This window comes from Homo sapiens, chromosome 8 (assembly GCF_000001405.40).
Source record: "Homo sapiens chromosome 8, GRCh38.p14 Primary Assembly".
In the NCBI taxonomy this organism is placed as follows: Eukaryota; Metazoa; Chordata; class Mammalia; order Primates; family Hominidae; genus Homo; species Homo sapiens.
In genome coordinates this window covers 94,372,531-94,389,933 of record NC_000008.11, presented here as the reverse complement: position 1 = coordinate 94,389,933, position 17,403 = coordinate 94,372,531, and the positions used below count along the sequence as shown (strand labels likewise).

Sequence of the window (17,403 nt, the reverse complement as noted above, 5' to 3'; positions counted from 1 at the left end):
CCAGTTAATTTAGAATATGTTTGTACATTCTTGAAGAAAGCAGCAGGGGGCTCTGAGTGTTTCTCCATTGTTGCCATGCAGTCACTAATAATAGGCATAGGATACTTCAAATAGGGTACATAATTTATAGTCTGATATTTATTCAGAAAAGCCTTTTCTCTAACTTCATAGCAAATAAGGATTGATATAAAAGGGCAGAAATGAGCCTTCTACATGTATAAATAACCTTTAAGCAATGGCTTGTAACTATGTTTCTATTGAAACTAAATTGTTTCCCAAGTTCAATTAAGATGTTAGGTCTTTCTTTAGGAAATGTGAGTGGAACGTAACCAGTAACAATATCATAACTCATAATTGAAGTGTACATGGAGTCAGAAGAGATAGTGTCGCGATTAGCTTGAGATGAGAAGTCAAACTGGTAAATCTCTATGATGGAGATGCTGCATCAGGCTGTCACAGTATAAAGATATTATCTATTGGTCAATTATTAATTAGTGGTACATATTATAATATCCTGGGAAGCTCTTAAAATTACATTAGTCCAGGCCTCAACACATATGGATTAATTCAGAGTTTGTTTGAGAGTAGGACCCAGGCATGAGCATTTTTAAAAAAGCCTTTTCAAGTGATTCTAATACGTGTTCTTGGTTAAGAACTTGTGCATTAAGATCGCCCGTCTTGGCCAGGGCGGTGGCTCACGCCTATAATCCCAGCACTTTGCGAGGCTGAGGTGGGAGAATTGCTTGAGGCCAAGAGTTCGAGACCAGTCTGGGCAACATAATGAGGCCCTGTCTCTTTAAAAAAAGAAAAGATCACCCATCTCCCTGTACTCTGATTTAATATTCACCAGACACCTTCTGTTAGTGGTTTGACTTTCCCTGGGGACGTTCTTTCATAGGACAGAATGCACGTGCATAGACTGATTGGTCTAAATAGGCAGGTCTCATAGGTCAATACATTTTCATTCTGACTTATTCAGTCTCTTAATTTGGTTAATATGAATAATTTCCCTAGAGCTTAAGCATATTCAAGTTTCTGAAGATGAAAAACTGTATACTAGACCCTGGGCCTGTGGTCCTTTGATGATCTTTCCAAGTTGTAGGCAGAGCTAACCTAAAGCAGCCAGCAGCTACTTCTTTCTCCTCATATGTCCCAGTGATAGAAATATTTTAGAGTTCCTAGTATTTTTAATCAAATGACTACACCTAAATATTGCTGTATTTTGACAGTAAGCCAAATTAAAATTAGTACTCTGTGCCCAGCATTTTTATACATTTCACATAGGATTCACTGCCCTTAAAGTGTTTCTAGTATTACTAAAGAGGGGGTGCAACACACAGGAAAACATTTGTGAAGTATAAAAAAAAGTCATTCGATCTTAAACAACCCTGGGGTTAGGGGGGCTGACCCCTGTGTGTGCTGTTGAAAATCCCTTTATAACTTGTATGACTTTTGACTCCCCCAAAACTGAACTACGAATAGCCTACTGTTGACCAGAAGCCTTACCAGTAGCATTAAGTCAGTTCACACATATTTTGTATATTATATACTGTATTTTTACACTAAAGTAAGCTATAAAAAGAAAATGTTATTAAGAAAAGAATGAAGAAGAGAAAATATATTTATTATTCAGTAAGTGGAAGTAGATCCTCACAAAGCTCTTCACATTGAGTAGGCTAAGAGGAGAGGAGGCAGAGGAGGGGTTGGCCTTGCTGTATCAGGGGTGGTGGCAGAGATGGGAGAAAATCTGCATATAAGTAGACTTGCGTAGTTCAAACCCATGTGTTCAAGGGTCAACTGCATATCATTAACTGCTCAATTAGATAAAGTCAAACCTGAAATGTACTGTGTAACCATAAAGGTTAAAACTCAGTGCAAACAAAGGCTATGAATAATCAGGTATAATTTGCACTGGGTCCTCAAGTGTTTATAGGATTGGGATAATTGAGCAGCAAAATAAAAAAGTATTCCAGACAAGGGGTTTAGGTTGAACAAAGTTTCAAAAACAGTGATAAATCTGGTAAATATGGGAGAGAGTTAAGAGACCTGCCAATCCTAGGAATTTAACCCAAAAAGTGATGTAGTCATGAATATCTCTGATCTCTAGTTATATGTTCACATATCAGCTAGGCAGTTTTGGAGGGGGAATTTCAGAGGTGCTGATAATCACCTTGGAATAAATTTATTCTACAACTATTGGTGAAATAAAAAGTATTGTTGTAAGTAAGAATAAATTTCTCTGTTAATTTATTGGTGAAATTCTTCCTTCTTACAGAAGAAACTGGTAAGATTAAGTAAACGATAGTGCTTGTTTTTGGATGTAAAGGTGTTGTATGAAGCCCACAATTCAGTAGAGAATACTAACAGGGAGGGAAGGAGAGAGGAAAAGAGAAAAAGATGTATCAAAGATGCAAAATGTTAGGGTTTTGGAGAGGATGGATTTTGTATCACCATTTGCCCTTTATTTCTCTCTCCTTTCTTTGTCTGCTCCTACTTCCTGTAGTTACATGTGGGAAATATTAATACTACACTTGCAGGGTGAAGGTAGCAGGCATGAGACTGCGTTAGAACTGCTCTGTAACTAACTCAGTAGAAGGCATGTTACTTTTTTAAAAAATGATCAAATCATGACCTATAAAGATTTACCTAACAGTTTCTTGGACTTTTCAGATAGCCGTTAATCTTCACCTTTTTCCTTCCATAATTTTAGCATTTTCCCCTCCTAATTAAAAAAACAAACTTGAGCCAGCATTAACAATCATCATTTTGAATAGGAAAAGGAATGTAGCTCAACTTGTGATAAAAATGAAGAAAAGAGTCTATACAAAGGCTTGCTAAGTGTGTTTCCTGCTGACTACAACCCTCTCCTGTTTACTGAAAAGGAGTCAGGAAAACTACAGGTGTTGTCCAAGCTCTTAGCGGTTATCCACGAACTTCGACCTACTGAAAAGTAAGATCGATTTAACAAACTTATAAGTGCTCATAGAGTTTTAGTTTGCACTATTTCTTTACTTCCTACTTCCCTTTTAAAATAAGAAAACATTAAAAATAAGTTATTTTCTTCTTTGGGAATATGGTTAGCTTCTAGTATTTCATAAACTTGTAATTAACAATGTGTCTGTAAGTTTTAAGAAAAACTAAACATATGTATACTTTTAAAAACCTAGTGATATTTTCTGATATATAATGCTTGTTTCTCAATTTTCTTCAGAATCCTTTCTTCTTTTACTGTTTCTTAAATACTGATACACCTTAGGATTTTCTCTTTAACTTTCTCACTCTTAACACACTTCCTGAGTGCTATACTCCCTGTACTTTCAACTATTGCACACACACATGCACACACACACACACACAACCATACCATGTGGTCCAGTGTGTGTGTGTGATGACTATATATATTTTATATCTTCTTGGATACCAAACACATATAATATTGAAACAAATTTATATCTCTAGTTCAGTCCTCTCTTCTAATTTCTACATCTTTATTTTTAAGTGTTGAATGGACATCTAAATCTATCTTGATGTCCTATAGTACTTCAAACTTCCCAGGTCCAAAACCATGTGACAAAACCATCATTTTGTTATTGTAAGCCTCATCTTGTCCCATTATTCCTTGGTACCATAATGCAAGCAAAAACCCTGGAAATTATTATAGACTCACTTTTCTTCTTTATTTATCCCACAGTGTCAGTCACTAAATTCTATTGATTTTATTTTTTAATTTCAAGAATCCATCCTCATTTTTCTGGTACCAAGATTTTTGTTTTGATTCTTAAAATTACTGATTTGGGTTATGATGATCTCTTATAAGCTACTTCCCTCTTACTTTCAGCCCCCTGACATACTCAACATTGCCCTGAATTATATTTCTAAAATATAAATATGAACTTGTCACTCCTTTTCTTAAAAAATCATTTGAAGACTCCCACTTGTCTTCCAGAAATTTCTAAATTCTTTAGCACATTAGGCAGGACCCTTCATGACATGGTTAATGCCTCCTTTTCCAGCCTCATCTCTCATCACTCCTTCACACATACCATGTGGTCCAGTCATACCAAACCACCTGCAGAGCCTGTAATTTGCCCCACTTCTGCTCTGCTCTTACATGTTGCAGGTTTCTGTGGCTGGCTTACCTCTGCTTCTCATTCTTCTGGCCAACTTTTTCTCTTTGTTAAGCCTCAGCTCAACAGACCAAGTGCAATTGTTTATACCTATAATCCCAGCACTCTGGGAGACCAAGGTGGGAGGATTGCTCGAGGCCAGGCATCGGAGGCCAGCCTAGGTGATAGAGTGAGACCCCTTTTCTACAAAATAACAACAACAACAACAAGACTCAGCTCTCATGCTTTCTCCTATCTCAGATTGAGTTAGACTCCCCTCCTCTGTACTCCATAGCATCCTGTACCTACCTCTAATGGAGCTCTTCTCACATGTTTTATTAGATAATATTTGCTATGTGCAAAAGGGCATGTGAGATGTACATATGCAGATTGTGACCCAGTTTAAGAGTGCAAACTTTCACTTTAGCTTCTATTCATATCTTATTATCTTTTTTTTTTTAACTGGACTTTTTTTTTTCTCTGAAGGGTGGGCGGGATAGGTGGCTGTCATTGGACAAAGGATAATGAGTGAAAAGAGTTTTGGAAGAAATGAGAAGAGATACAGTTTGAATATAGATGTGAGAATTTATCTTTGAAGATGTCATAGGGGAAAGTTTCCCTCTTGTGGCAAGAAGGAAGAAAGGAATGAAGAAAAATATAATGATTAAGAAAAATAAAAGTAATATTTGGGGATTGAAGTTGGGGTGGTCTTTTCTCTTTATCTTGAGATAGGGTCTCACTCTGGGGCACAGGCCGGAGTGCAGTGGTGTGACCTCAGCCCACTGCAGCCTTGACCTCCCAGGCCCAAGTGATCCTCCCACTTCAGCTTCCCATGTAGCTGGGATTACAGGAATGTGCTATCAAGCCCTGCTAATTTTTGTATTTTTGTAGAGACGGTGTTTCACCATGTTGCCCAGGCTGGTCTCTTAACTCCTGAGTTCAAGCAATCTGCGTACCTCAGTCTCCCAAAGTGTTGGGATTATAGGTGTGATGGTCATTTGACTCCTTGTGGGTCCTTAAGAAACCTAAACCCTGCCATGTTGCATTGAAGGAGAAGCTACACTTTCATAAGTGGCACAGGCTGGGTCTTTGTTCTGTTGCTTCACATTATCTGAAGAGATCGCCTTTTCTTTAAAAAAAAATTGTGGTAATATAGACATAACATAGAGTTACCATTTTAACCATTTTTTTATGTATAATTCTGTAGTGTTAAGTACATTCACATCCTGGTGCAACCAATGTTCAGAACTCTTTGCATCTTGCAAACAAAACTGAAATACTATTTCAGTTTTGCAAACAAAACTGAAATCTATTAAACACCAACTCCTTATTTTCCCCTCCCTTAACACCTGGACTACCCTTCTACTCTCTGACTCTGACTATTCCAGATACCTCATATAAATGGAATCATATAGTTTTTCTTTCTTTATTTTACTGACCAATTTCACTTAACATAATGTCCTCCAGGTTTATCCATGTTGTAGCATGTGTCAGAATTTCCTTCCTTTTTAAGGCTAAACAATATTCCATTGTATGTATATACCACATTTTGTTTATCCATTCATCTATTGCTGAACACTTGGGTTGTCTCTACTTTTTGGCTCTTGTGAATAATGTTGCTGTGAACATGGGTGTGCAAATAACTTTTCAAAACCCTGCTTTGAATTCTTTTTTTTTAATTTATAGATATATTTTTATTATATTCTAAGTTCTAGGGTACATGTGCACAATGTGCAGGTTTGTTACATATGTATACATGTGCCATGTTGGTTTGCTGCACCCATTAAATTCTTTTGGATATAAATCCAGAAGTGGAATTGTTGCATCATATGGTAATTCTATTTTTAATATTTTGAAGTACTGCCATACTGTTTTTCATAGAGGACTGCACCATTTTCATTTCCACCAACAGTGCACAGGGTTCAAATTGCTCTATCTCCTTACCAACTTTGTTACTTTCTATTTTTTTGATAATAGTCATCCTAGTGGATGGGAGGTGGGATATCATTGTAGTTTTGATTTGCATTTCTCTAATGATTAGTGATATCGAGCACCTTTTAATGTGCTTTTTGGCTATCTTATCCTTGGGAATCCCCATCTTATCCTTGGGAATACCTTCCAAGACCAGGAATGGATGCCTGAAACCACAGATACTACCAAGCCCTATATGGATTTTGTTTTTTCATGTATATTCATACCAGTGATAAAGTTATAAATTAGGCACAGTAAGAGATTAACAACAATAACTAATAATAGAACAATCATAACAGTATACTGTAGTGAAAGTTATGTGAATGTGCATCCTCTCTTTCTTTCTCAAAATACCTTACTGTGTGTAATATTTTTGAACCGAGGTTGACCGCAGGTAACTGAAACAGTGGAAAGCAGATCTGCAGATAATGGGGTACCACTGTGGTCTCTAGGTGCCTCTGTATTTTCTTTGTCTTTCCTCTGTGAGTCCTCTGTCTTCCTGCTACAATTTGAACTGATCTCTAATCTTGCTACATAGCTGTCATCTTGGGGCTTTTTTTTTTTTTTTTTTTGAGATGGAGTCTTGCTCTGTTGCCCAAGCTGGAGTGCAGTGGCGTGATCTCAGCTCACTCCAACCTCTGCTTCCTGGGTTCAAGCAATTCTCGTGCTTTGGCCTCTCGAGTAGCTGAAATTACAGGGGGATGCTAATTTTTTTTATTTTTAGTAGAGATGGAGTTTCACCATGTTGCCCAGGTTGGTCTCAAACTCCTGACCTCAGGTGACCCACCCCCCTTGGCCTCCCAAAGTGCTGGGATTACAGGTGTGAGCCACAGTGCCCGGCATCCTGGGACTTTTAAAAAGCCATCACCTATGCATTAGTCCGTTTTCACACTGCTATAAAGAAATACCTGAGACTGGGTAATTTATAAAGGAAAGAGGTTTAATTGACTCACAGTTCCACATGGCTGGGAAGGCCTCAGGAAACTTATAATCATGGCAGAAGGCAAAGGGGAAGCAAAGACCTTCTTCACAGAGTAGCAGGAAAGAGAGAGCTAGCAAGAGCAGGGAAAACTGCCTTATAAAACCAGCAGATCTCGTGAGAACTCACTCCCTATCACGAGAACAGCATGCAGGAAACCGCCCCCGTGATTTAGTCACCTCCCACCTGGTCCCTCCCTGAACAAATGGGGGTTCTGGAGATTGTAATTCGAGATGAGATTTGGGTGGAGACACAGAGCCAAATCATATTAACTTATAAATTCATTTTTTTCCTCTTCTGTGTTGGATTTTCTGTTTTCTGAATTTCACATTTTGCTGGAGCACATCTCACAGTAGTTTCCTAAGAAAGATGGGAGATTAATCTTTTTGACTTCTTGTACATCTGAAACTGTCTTTATTCTACACTAGCACTTGACTGACAACTTCCCTTGTCATAAACTTCTAGATCAAAATAGTATTCCCCTAGAATTTTGAAGACATTGCTTTACATGTTGTTTTCTAGTTTTTAGTTGCTTTTGAGAAGTCCGATGATTTTCAAATTTCGATTCATTTGCATATGACCTATTTTTCTTCATCAAAAATTGATCAACTTTTATTCATTCTTCATACTTTGAGTTATAATCTTGATATACCTTAATATGAGTCCTCATTAATTGAGCTGGGAACTTTTTAGTAGGTCCTTTTTATCTGAAGACTCCATGTCTGGGAGATATCCTTTCTCGCTCTCTTTTTTTTTTTTTTTTTGAGAGGGAGTCTTGCTCTGTCGCCCAGGCTGGAGTGCAGTGGCGCGATCTCGGCTCACTGCAAGCTCCGCCTCCCAGGTTCACGCCATTCTCCTGCTTCAGCCTCCGGAGTAGCTGGGACTACAGGCGCCCACCACCATGCCCGACTAATTTTTTTGTATTTTTAGTAGAGACGGGGTTTCACCGTGTTAGCCAGGATGGTCTCTATCTTCTGACCTTGTGATCCGCCCACCTCGGCCTCCTGAAGTGCTGGGATTACAGGCTTGAGCCACCGCGCCCGGCCTTTCTCTTAAAACAATTTCTTGTTTTCTTTGGAATTCCTGTCAGTCAGATATTGAACCTCATGAATTGATTCTCTAATTCTTTTTTTTCTCTCCTATTGGTCATCACTTTTTCTTCTTAATGTATTTCCTGTCAAACTCTCGTACTATTATCTTCCAGCTCTCCTGTTAAAACTTTGTCTATCATTTTACATTTCTAAGATATTTTTCTAATTCTTGATTGTTCCTTTTGAAAAATTGCATCCTCTTCCATTGAAGGATAGATAGCTCTTGTTTGAGGACATAAATTATTTTCGGAAAGTTTTCTTCTGTTTTTTTTCATTGCTTTGTTTAATTCAGGTTTGTTTATTTTGATTTTTCCTTTTCATGTTGAAGCTCACTTCAAATAGCTGGTGTTCCCTGGTGTCCACAGTTAAGAGTGAAGCAGTAAAACATTAATTGAACACTGTATGGATAGGCAGGGCTCGTTGACTAATAATCATCATTGGGTAATCAGGCAGCAAGCTAGCTTTTAAATTTGGGGACTCCCTATCTGTGGATCTTTTCTGTGGAATCATTTAAGTCTTTCCATAGATGAATCCTTTAGTAGTATCTTCCTTGGGCTGGCATATGGGGTGCCTGGCTGCTGGTATTCTAGTAGTTGGCAGGAAAAGGGTAGAGGGATCTTATTCAGTATCTAGACTTTCATTAACACATTTTTTTTTTTAAAAGACAGGGCCTTGCTCTATTGTCCAGGCTGGACTGAAACTCTTGGATTCAAGTTATCTTCCTGTTTCAGCCTCCTGAGTAGCAGGGGCTACAGGCATAAGCCACTACATTGGCTCTCCTGCCTTCTACAGTCAGTTCCCTGGTCTAAGTTTCTTTGGTTTATTTTCTCCAGATAATAAATACTTTATTTGGGAAAGAAAAGTCAACTGATCACATGGGAGCAGGGCCTGGGTTCTACGTACCAATGTTGTAATAGTTCCAGTCTAAATTCCTTCCTTCTCAGGTACCTTAGCAAGATTCTGTGGTGCAAATGAACTTTCATTTGTTTCTTACTGGAATCTCCCTCTTTGGGCATGTAGGCATCACCTTATGTATACTCCTAAGCAGGTGACTGCTTCACTATGGTTTTTGTTTTCAAATATCTTCAGAGTTAGTTTCTGTTCATTTTTGTATTTTGCTCATTCTCTTGCTGTTTTTAGAGTGAACCTCAGAGAGATGAAGAAGGCAGAAAGGTCTTTGCCGCACTGTCTTAAAACTGGAAGTTTAGATATTGACTTTAAAATGGAATATGCAGGAATACCTATGTTTTAATTGTACAAGGTCATTGTTGCATGTTCTCTCAATGTCAGTGATAATATTATTGTGGTATTTTCTTTCAACTAAGAAAATCTAATGCTGCCTTTAAATTTATCTAAAGAATCTTTCTTTTTGATTGACAGGGTGGTGTTGGTATCCAACTATACACAAACCTTGAACATTTTACAAGAAGTATGTAAGCGTCATGGATATGCTTATACAAGACTTGATGGACAAACACCAATCTCTCAAAGGCAGCAGATTGTTGATGGCTTTAACAGTCAACACTCTTCTTTTTTTATTTTTTTGTTAAGTTCAAAAGCTGGTGGTGTAGGACTTAACCTCATTGGAGGATCTCACTTAATTCTCTATGACATTGATTGGAATCCAGCCACTGACATTCAGGTAGGAATATTTATGCATTAAATAGATATTATTGAATGCCTGAGGATACAATGCCTATTGAGGATACAAAGATAATGATGATATATAATATCCACTGCATAAAGAGCCCTTATTTTGCGTGAGGCACTCTCCTAAGTGCTTTCCATCTGTTTAATCCTCCTAACAAGCCTACAAGGATGGATATTAGTAGTCCCATTTTACAGATGAAGATATAGAAGCTTGTTCTAGATCCCACAGCTTGTAAGATGCAGAGCCAGGATTCAGACCTAAACCTGTATGTCTCCAGGTTCTAGTTTACTGCAGAGTTGGCCTTTAGGGTGTTCATGACCATCAGGTGAAGACAATAAAGTTACAGATGCTATGATTAGTGTTTATGCAGGCTATAGTAAGGGTATAAAAGTAACATATTTAGGAAAATGTTTGAGAAGCCTTTGGTTTTCTTTAGAGTACAGCCCATCTTTTTGTATCTTGAGTTTTCTACCTGTAGGTTTGCACCTCAGTTGGTATGTGCATTGGGGGATCCCAAGACAACCCTCAGGTTTAATGATTCACTAGAAGGACTCAACTGAGAAAAGCAGCTATACTCACAGTTATGTTACATTATAGTAAAGAATACTCAAAGCGGTAAGGAAAAGGTACTGAGTCCAGGGCAGAGTCCAAGAGAGACCAGGCACAAGCTTCCAGTTGTTCTCTGCCAGTGGAGTTTTATGGACAACACTTAATTCTGTCGGCATTGGTGAGTGACAGTGCATATAGAATATTGTCCACCAGGGAAGTTCATCCACGTCTTGGTGTCCAGAATTTTGTTTGGGGTCAGTTCTGTAGTCATGGAACACCTGCATGACTGACCTTAGTTAATCAGTCTTTAGCCTCCAGAAATCAAACTACATGATCCAAGGCCCCACCATATAACATTGTTAGCATAAACTATCTGGTGTGGCCCAAGTGTCTGGTAAACAGACACTCATATCAGGCAGGACATTCCAAAGGCCTAGAGATGATCTCTTAGAAGTTGGTTGAAGGCCAGATTTTTATTTGAAATGTGCAGGGTTTGAACATCAACACTTTAATGCACAGTATCATTGATAAATCTTTAAACCACAGGGATCCACCTAGAGCCTTAGCTGATTACATGTATCCTAGGTAGTTCTCAGGGGCAAATCTTTAGCTATTTGGACTGAGAATGAACCTCCAAGCCCATGCTACACTTGGTTCTTTCCATTCTTGCTGTCCATACTCACTGTCCCATTGATGAAGATCTATTCTCTCACTCTTGCATGATACTCTTGTAGTTATTTTACAGTACCATAGTAAGTGTTCACTCATCCCTTTCTTTCTGCCAAGAAAAAGCTATGAAGTAGGGCATGCTTCACACACCTGAGATTTGTTTTCTGAAGCTGTATGTAAAATATAGAATTCCGAATTTTAAAACATATTTCTGCAAATTGCATGTGTGGAAGGGGCCATTAGTTTCTACTGTACTCTCAGAATTCTCACTTATTTTCTATAGGCAATGTCTAGAGTATGGAGAGATGGTCAGAAATATCCTGTACATATTTACAGACTCCTAACTACAGGTAACAACCCTTCAGTGTGACAAAAATGTATACTCTTTGAATAATTAAAATTATTTTTTGTTAGCCTGTGCTTCAGTGTCAGGAATATATTGTTATTTTATTAACTAGTATGTTACTAAACATTATACCCAACAAAAATAATGAACATAAAGATCTGAAGGAAATCTAATTAATGTTTTCTCTTTAGGTACAATAGAAGAAAAGATCTATCAAAGGCAGATCAGTAAGCAAGGTCTTTGTGGGGCAGTTGTCGACCTCACCAAGACATCTGAACATATTCAGTTTTCAGTAGAAGAACTTAAAAATTTGTTCACATTACATGAAAGTTCAGATTGTGTTACTCATGATCTGCTTGACTGTGAGTGTACAGGAGAAGAAGTTCATACAGGTTAGTTATATTTTAATTCTGTTACTATGTAGTAAAGTTAATTTATTTCTTGTTAGCAGTTGAAAATATTTAAAGAATAACTTTATAATATTTACCATTTGCATATGTTAGTTTTATTTTTTTCTCAGCTCATAGGGCAGCTGCCAGATAGAGATATTTGAGAAAATATTCAGTAGAATCTTTTTTTTTTTTTTTTTTTTTTTTGAGACGGAGTCTCGCTCTGTCGCCCAGGCTGGAGTGCAGTGGCGCGATCTCGGCTCACTGCAAGCTCCGCCTCCCGGGTTCACGCCATTCTCCTGCCTCAGCCTCCCGAGTAGCTGGGACTACAGGCGCCCGCTACCACGCCCGGCTAATTTTTTGTATTTTTAGTAGAGACGGGGTTTCACCGTGTTAGCCAGGATGGTCTCGATCTCCTGACCTCGTGATCCGCCCGCCTCGGCCTCCCAAAGTGCTGGGATTACAGGCGTGAGCCACCGCGCCCGGCCCAGTAGACTCTTATTCTCTGAATTTTAGCTTTTTATTTCTGAATCACTTGTGAAAAATTGAACTTATTTAGGAAAATCTTTCAAGTCCTGGTGTAATGGCTTTGGAGTTAGAGTTTTTTTTTTTTTTTTTTTTTTTTTTTTTTTTTTTTCCAAGACAGGGTCTGGCTCTGTTGCTCTGTTGCCCAGGCTGGAGTGCAGTGGTGCAATCATGGCTCACTGCAACCTCCGCCTCCTGGGTTCAAGCAGTCTTCCAGCTTCAGCCTCCTGAGTAGCTGGGACTACAGGTGTGCACCACCACACCTGGCTAATTTTTGTATTTTTTGTAGAGACGAGATTTCTTCATGTTGCCCACACTGGTCTCGAACTCCTGGGCTCCAGCGATCTGCCCGCCTCAGCCTCTCAAAGTGCTGGGATTACAGGTGTGAGCCACCGCATCCAGCCAGAAAAATGGTTTTAATCCCTATTTCTCTTTCGCAAAAAAACATACAGTTGACAGAATAATCCTGTTGTTTATGTTGTACAGAATTTATTCATAATGGGGTCATATTTTCTGAGGCACTTAGAAGCATAGGTCACCATACTTCTCAGTACTTGATGTAAGTGCTAGTGCTGCTTAAGTAAAGCTGAAAATTTACCCTCCAGAATAGACACCATTCAAAAAGGAACTAGATCAGGAGTAGGACTTGAGCAATCAATGTCTAGTAGCTGAAAGTTACTTGATGAATTATATTAAGATAGGTTGAAGAAGTTAGACTATATAAGACTGAGATGGAAGAATTTAGATTTTATATAAACATAAATATATTTTATATAAATGTTTCTCTTCTATGGAAATGTTTCTTTATATAAATGTTTCTCTTTAGGTACAATAGAAGCTTATTAGTTTATTAGTTATTTGTCATATAAATTATATATGATTATATTTATTAGTTATATGTCATATATAAATATATAACTAATAACTAAATATAATAAATATAATCATGCACAATATATAATTATAACAATATATAATATTTATGGTAGTTAAAATATGTATATATTTTTATTTTTTAGTGGGTAGAATTTAAACTTCATAGAAATGTTTTCAGATTTTCTTCATAGCCATTTTGGTAATTAAAAATATTAATTAACACTTTATCCTCCCTATTAAATTTTTTCCTGTTTTAATAATTTCTCTTCTTTTCTCCTTTTTCCTTGTATTTACTCTAATGTTCTTTTTCCAATATTTAAGTTTAATACTTAGCTTAATGATTTTTCAGTCTTCTTTTCAAAGAAGTGGATATTTAAGACTATACATTTTCCTCTAAGCTGCCCATAATTTTGATATACAGTCTTTCATTATTCAGTTCTAAATATTTTGTTTTTTCATTATGATTTCTTCTTTGTCTCATGAGTTATTTAAAAGTATGTTTTAAAATGTATTTTAGTTTTTGTTACTGAACTCTGGCTAATGCTCTGTAGTCAGAAATAGAACTACATGATATGGATTCTTTGGTAATTATAGAGACTTGGGGTATGGTCTAGTGTGTGGTCATTTTTTGTAAATGTTTGTTTTGTGCATGGAAATCGTGTATATCCTCTTAATTGCCTAGTGTAGAATTCTGTCATATTAGCCAGATTTTGTTATGTAATCCATTTTTTCTTTTATAGATTTCAAAAATGACTAATTTAACTTTTGAATCGGTAATATATTTACATGACTCAATTATTTAAAAATATAAAATGTACATGGTGAAAACTCTTCCTCCTACTCTACCTCCTACTCTACCTCCTACTCTACCCTTATCTCCCTAATTTCTAGCCTTCTACATCAAAAGAAACCACCACTATTAGTTTTTTTGTGTATCCTTCCAGATATATATGTATGCATATATAAGCCACTCTAGATATATATTCTTGCCCAGTTTTCCTCCCAATAAATTATAGCATATTATATTTCTGTACCTTTTTCACTCAGTAGCGTATCTTGAGATCTTTCCGTATTGTTACAGAGTTTCCTCATTCTTTTTCTTCCTCAGCTGTATAATCTTCCAGTGTATAGATATATCATAATTTATCCCCCACTATATTAGTCTGTTTTCACGCTGCTGATAAAGGCATACCTGAGACTGGGCGATTTACAAAAAAAAGAAGTTTAATTAGACTCACAGTTCCACATAGCTGGGGAGGCCTCACATTAATGGCAGAAGGCAAGGAGGAGCAAATCAGATCTTACATGGATGGTGGCAGGCAAAAAGAGAGCTTGTGCAGGGCAATTCCCATTTTTAAAACCATCAGATCTCGTGAGACCCATTCATTATCACAAGAACAGCACAGGAAAGACCTGCCCCCATGATTCAATCATCTCCCACCGGGTCCTTCCCACAACACGTGGGAAATATGGGAGCTGCAAGATGAGATTTGGGTGGGGACACTGCCAAACCATATCATCCATAGATGTACAATTAGGTTATTTCCCATAAGTGTGTATTTTATTCATGTATCATTTTGAATATCTTCAAGTATACCTATAAGGTAAATTTTTAGTATTGCTGAGTCAGAGAATGTGTACATTTGTAATTTTGATAGATATTGCCAAAATGCCCTTTGTTGGATGTTGTGTCAATTTACACACTCCCAGAAATACACTAGAATGTCTATTTTCCCATAGCCTTGCCAGTTTAGTGGATTATCAAATGTTTGTATATTTGCCAATCTGATAGTAAGAAAATAATATATTGGTATAGTTTTAATTTGCTATTCTCTTATTACGAATGAAGTTGAGCATTTTCCTAAGTTTAAAAACCATAGTTCTTTATGTGAACCATCTCTTCATATTGTTTGCCCATTTAAAACATTAACAACCTAATTTTTTGTTAGATATATCTATTATTCAAATAAATATATTAAAATATGAAACTGTGACAGTGGATTAGAGAAAATTGTTATTTTGTCATTTTCTGCTTCATATATTTTATATCTTCCTTGTGAAATATTTTTTTCATTATGGTTTCTCTATTTTATTGTTATGTAGTGATCGCCTTATCCCGAATGCCTTTTGCTTTCATTTTGTCTTAACATATTACACTAGTTTTCTTATCATTAGGGTTTGTCTGGTCTATCTTTTCCCATCTGTTTACCTTAAATTTCTCTGTGTTCTTATGTTTTAGGTATCTCTTGTCAATAGCATAAAGCTGGGTTTTATTTTTTGTCCAGTCTAATATTTTGTTTCAGTGAGAACATTTAGTTTGTTTGCATTTATCATTATTAAGGTATTTTTATTTATTTCTACTGTCTTTTCATTTTTTAACGAGGGCCTAATACTGGCGAACTCTTGGTTAGCCAGAGGTTTTTTGGTTAGTACTTTGCAGGTATTATTCTATTGTCTTCTAATTTTGGAAGCAATCTTGTCATCTCTTTTCTTTTTTTTTTTTGAGACGGAGTCTTGCTCTGTCACCCAGGCTAGTGTGCAGTGGCGCTATCTCGGCTCACTGCCAGCTCCGCCTCCCGGGTTAACGCCATTCTCCTGCCTCAGCCTCCCGAGTAGCTGGGACTACAGGCGCCTGCCACCACGTCTGGCTAATTTTTTGTGTTTTTAGTAGAGACGGGGTTACACTGTGTTAGCCAGGATGGTCTCGATCACCTGACCTCGTGATCTGCCCGCCTTGGCCTCCCGAAGTGCTGGGATTACAGGCGTGAGCCACTGCGCCCGGCCTTGTCATCTCTTTTCTTAAAACCTCAATGATTATGAACACTGACAAGAATTTGATGATATTAAGGAATGACTTGAGGCTTTTCTTTTAGGTGTGATAAAATTTCAAAGAAGTGTTTATCTTTTAGAAATGTAGAATGAAATATTTATAAGTGAAATGATACATGCTATATATTTATTATATTTATTTGAAATTTCCCATAATTAAAAGGTTAAAAAAATAAAACCTCCAATAGCTTCCTATTGCTCTTAGGATAGATACTAAAATCTCTAAATTGATAAGTTAGTCAGGGCAGTCTAATTGCTGTAACAAGAAACTAAAAAAGCACAATGGTCTAACACAATAGAAATATGTTTCTCATTTGTGTAACAGGTCATTGTGGGCATTTAGTGGACAGCCTTTCATAAGGTAATTTCGTGATCCAGGGTTCTTTCACTTGGAGCTCTTCCATCCATTTGGACCTTAGAGTCCTCTGCTGGGATACCCTGCATCTGCCAGCCAGCAGTGAGAGAAGAGATAAAGTAGAAAATTGTTCAGTTTGAAGGATGTTTATAGTTCAGACCTGGAAGTGACATAGCTGCATTCCATAAGGCCAGACTCAGTGGCAATATCTAACCGTAAGGGAGGCTGGAAAAGGTGACTAAGTGCCCTGGAGGAAAGAGAAATGGATTTGGTGAATAACGGCTGGCCTCTGCCATTCATGTTTTGCATAATCCAGCCCTTGAATACTTGCTTCACTGTGCATTACTTAACTTCTTTTGCATTATTCTTTGCTTTTACTCTATAGGCTTTAATTGCATAGGCTCGTATCAATTGCTCGACTATGCCAGTGTCCCTTCCTTTTCATAGCTTTTTAATGTGCTTATCATGGAATGCTTTATCTTTTTTCCCCATCTAGTTCTTTTCTCATCTTTCAGATCTTAATAGAACATTTCCTCAGGGTGCCCTTCACTTACCTTCCGGACCAAGTCAGCCTCTCTTGTCATATGTAAGATAGTTCCCTGTATCTTTCCTTCATACCCTTACCTCTGTTTGTAATTCAGCTCCACAGTCCCTTATCTTCAATTCTGAAATCTAGAAAGCTCAAAAGGTTTTTTTTTCTTCATAAATTTGTGACAAAATTATTTGTGGCAAAACCTTACCTAAATTGATGTGAGTTTATCAATAGTCTTTATTTAACCCATTTTGTAAGACTATTTATGACTTGCTACAGAATGTTAATGAGTTTCATTATGGAATGCTGACCCAGATTGTTCGAATTATATTCTGAATTTGTAAACGTGGCCCCACAGGTTTTAGGAAAGGGATTTTGAATTTGTAATACATTTTTCAGATGATTATTTATTTAATGTATATCTCTCCCACTAGACTGTAAGGTCCTTGAAGTCAGAGACCATGCCTGTGTTTCTTCATCATTTTACCTTTGCTGTTTAAATCAGTACATAGTAAATAACTTATAAATGTTTGTA

At 37.2% G+C, this 17,403-nt stretch overlaps 1 protein-coding gene across 2 annotated transcripts in view; it reads left to right on the top strand.

Annotated features, from left to right (window-relative positions):
* Positions 1-17,403, top strand: part of RAD54B (RAD54 homolog B) — a 103,156-nt gene that overhangs the window by 85,182 nt on the left and 571 nt on the right. For both annotated transcript variants that reach the window (NM_012415.3, NM_001205263.2), the window contains 4 exons: positions 2,775-2,950; positions 9,528-9,789; positions 11,300-11,366; positions 11,554-11,754. In NM_012415.3, coding sequence (NP_036547.1) covers positions 2,775-2,950; positions 9,528-9,789; positions 11,300-11,366; positions 11,554-11,754 — 706 coding nt within the window. The remainder of the gene's footprint in view (positions 1-2,774; positions 2,951-9,527; positions 9,790-11,299; positions 11,367-11,553; positions 11,755-17,403) is intronic.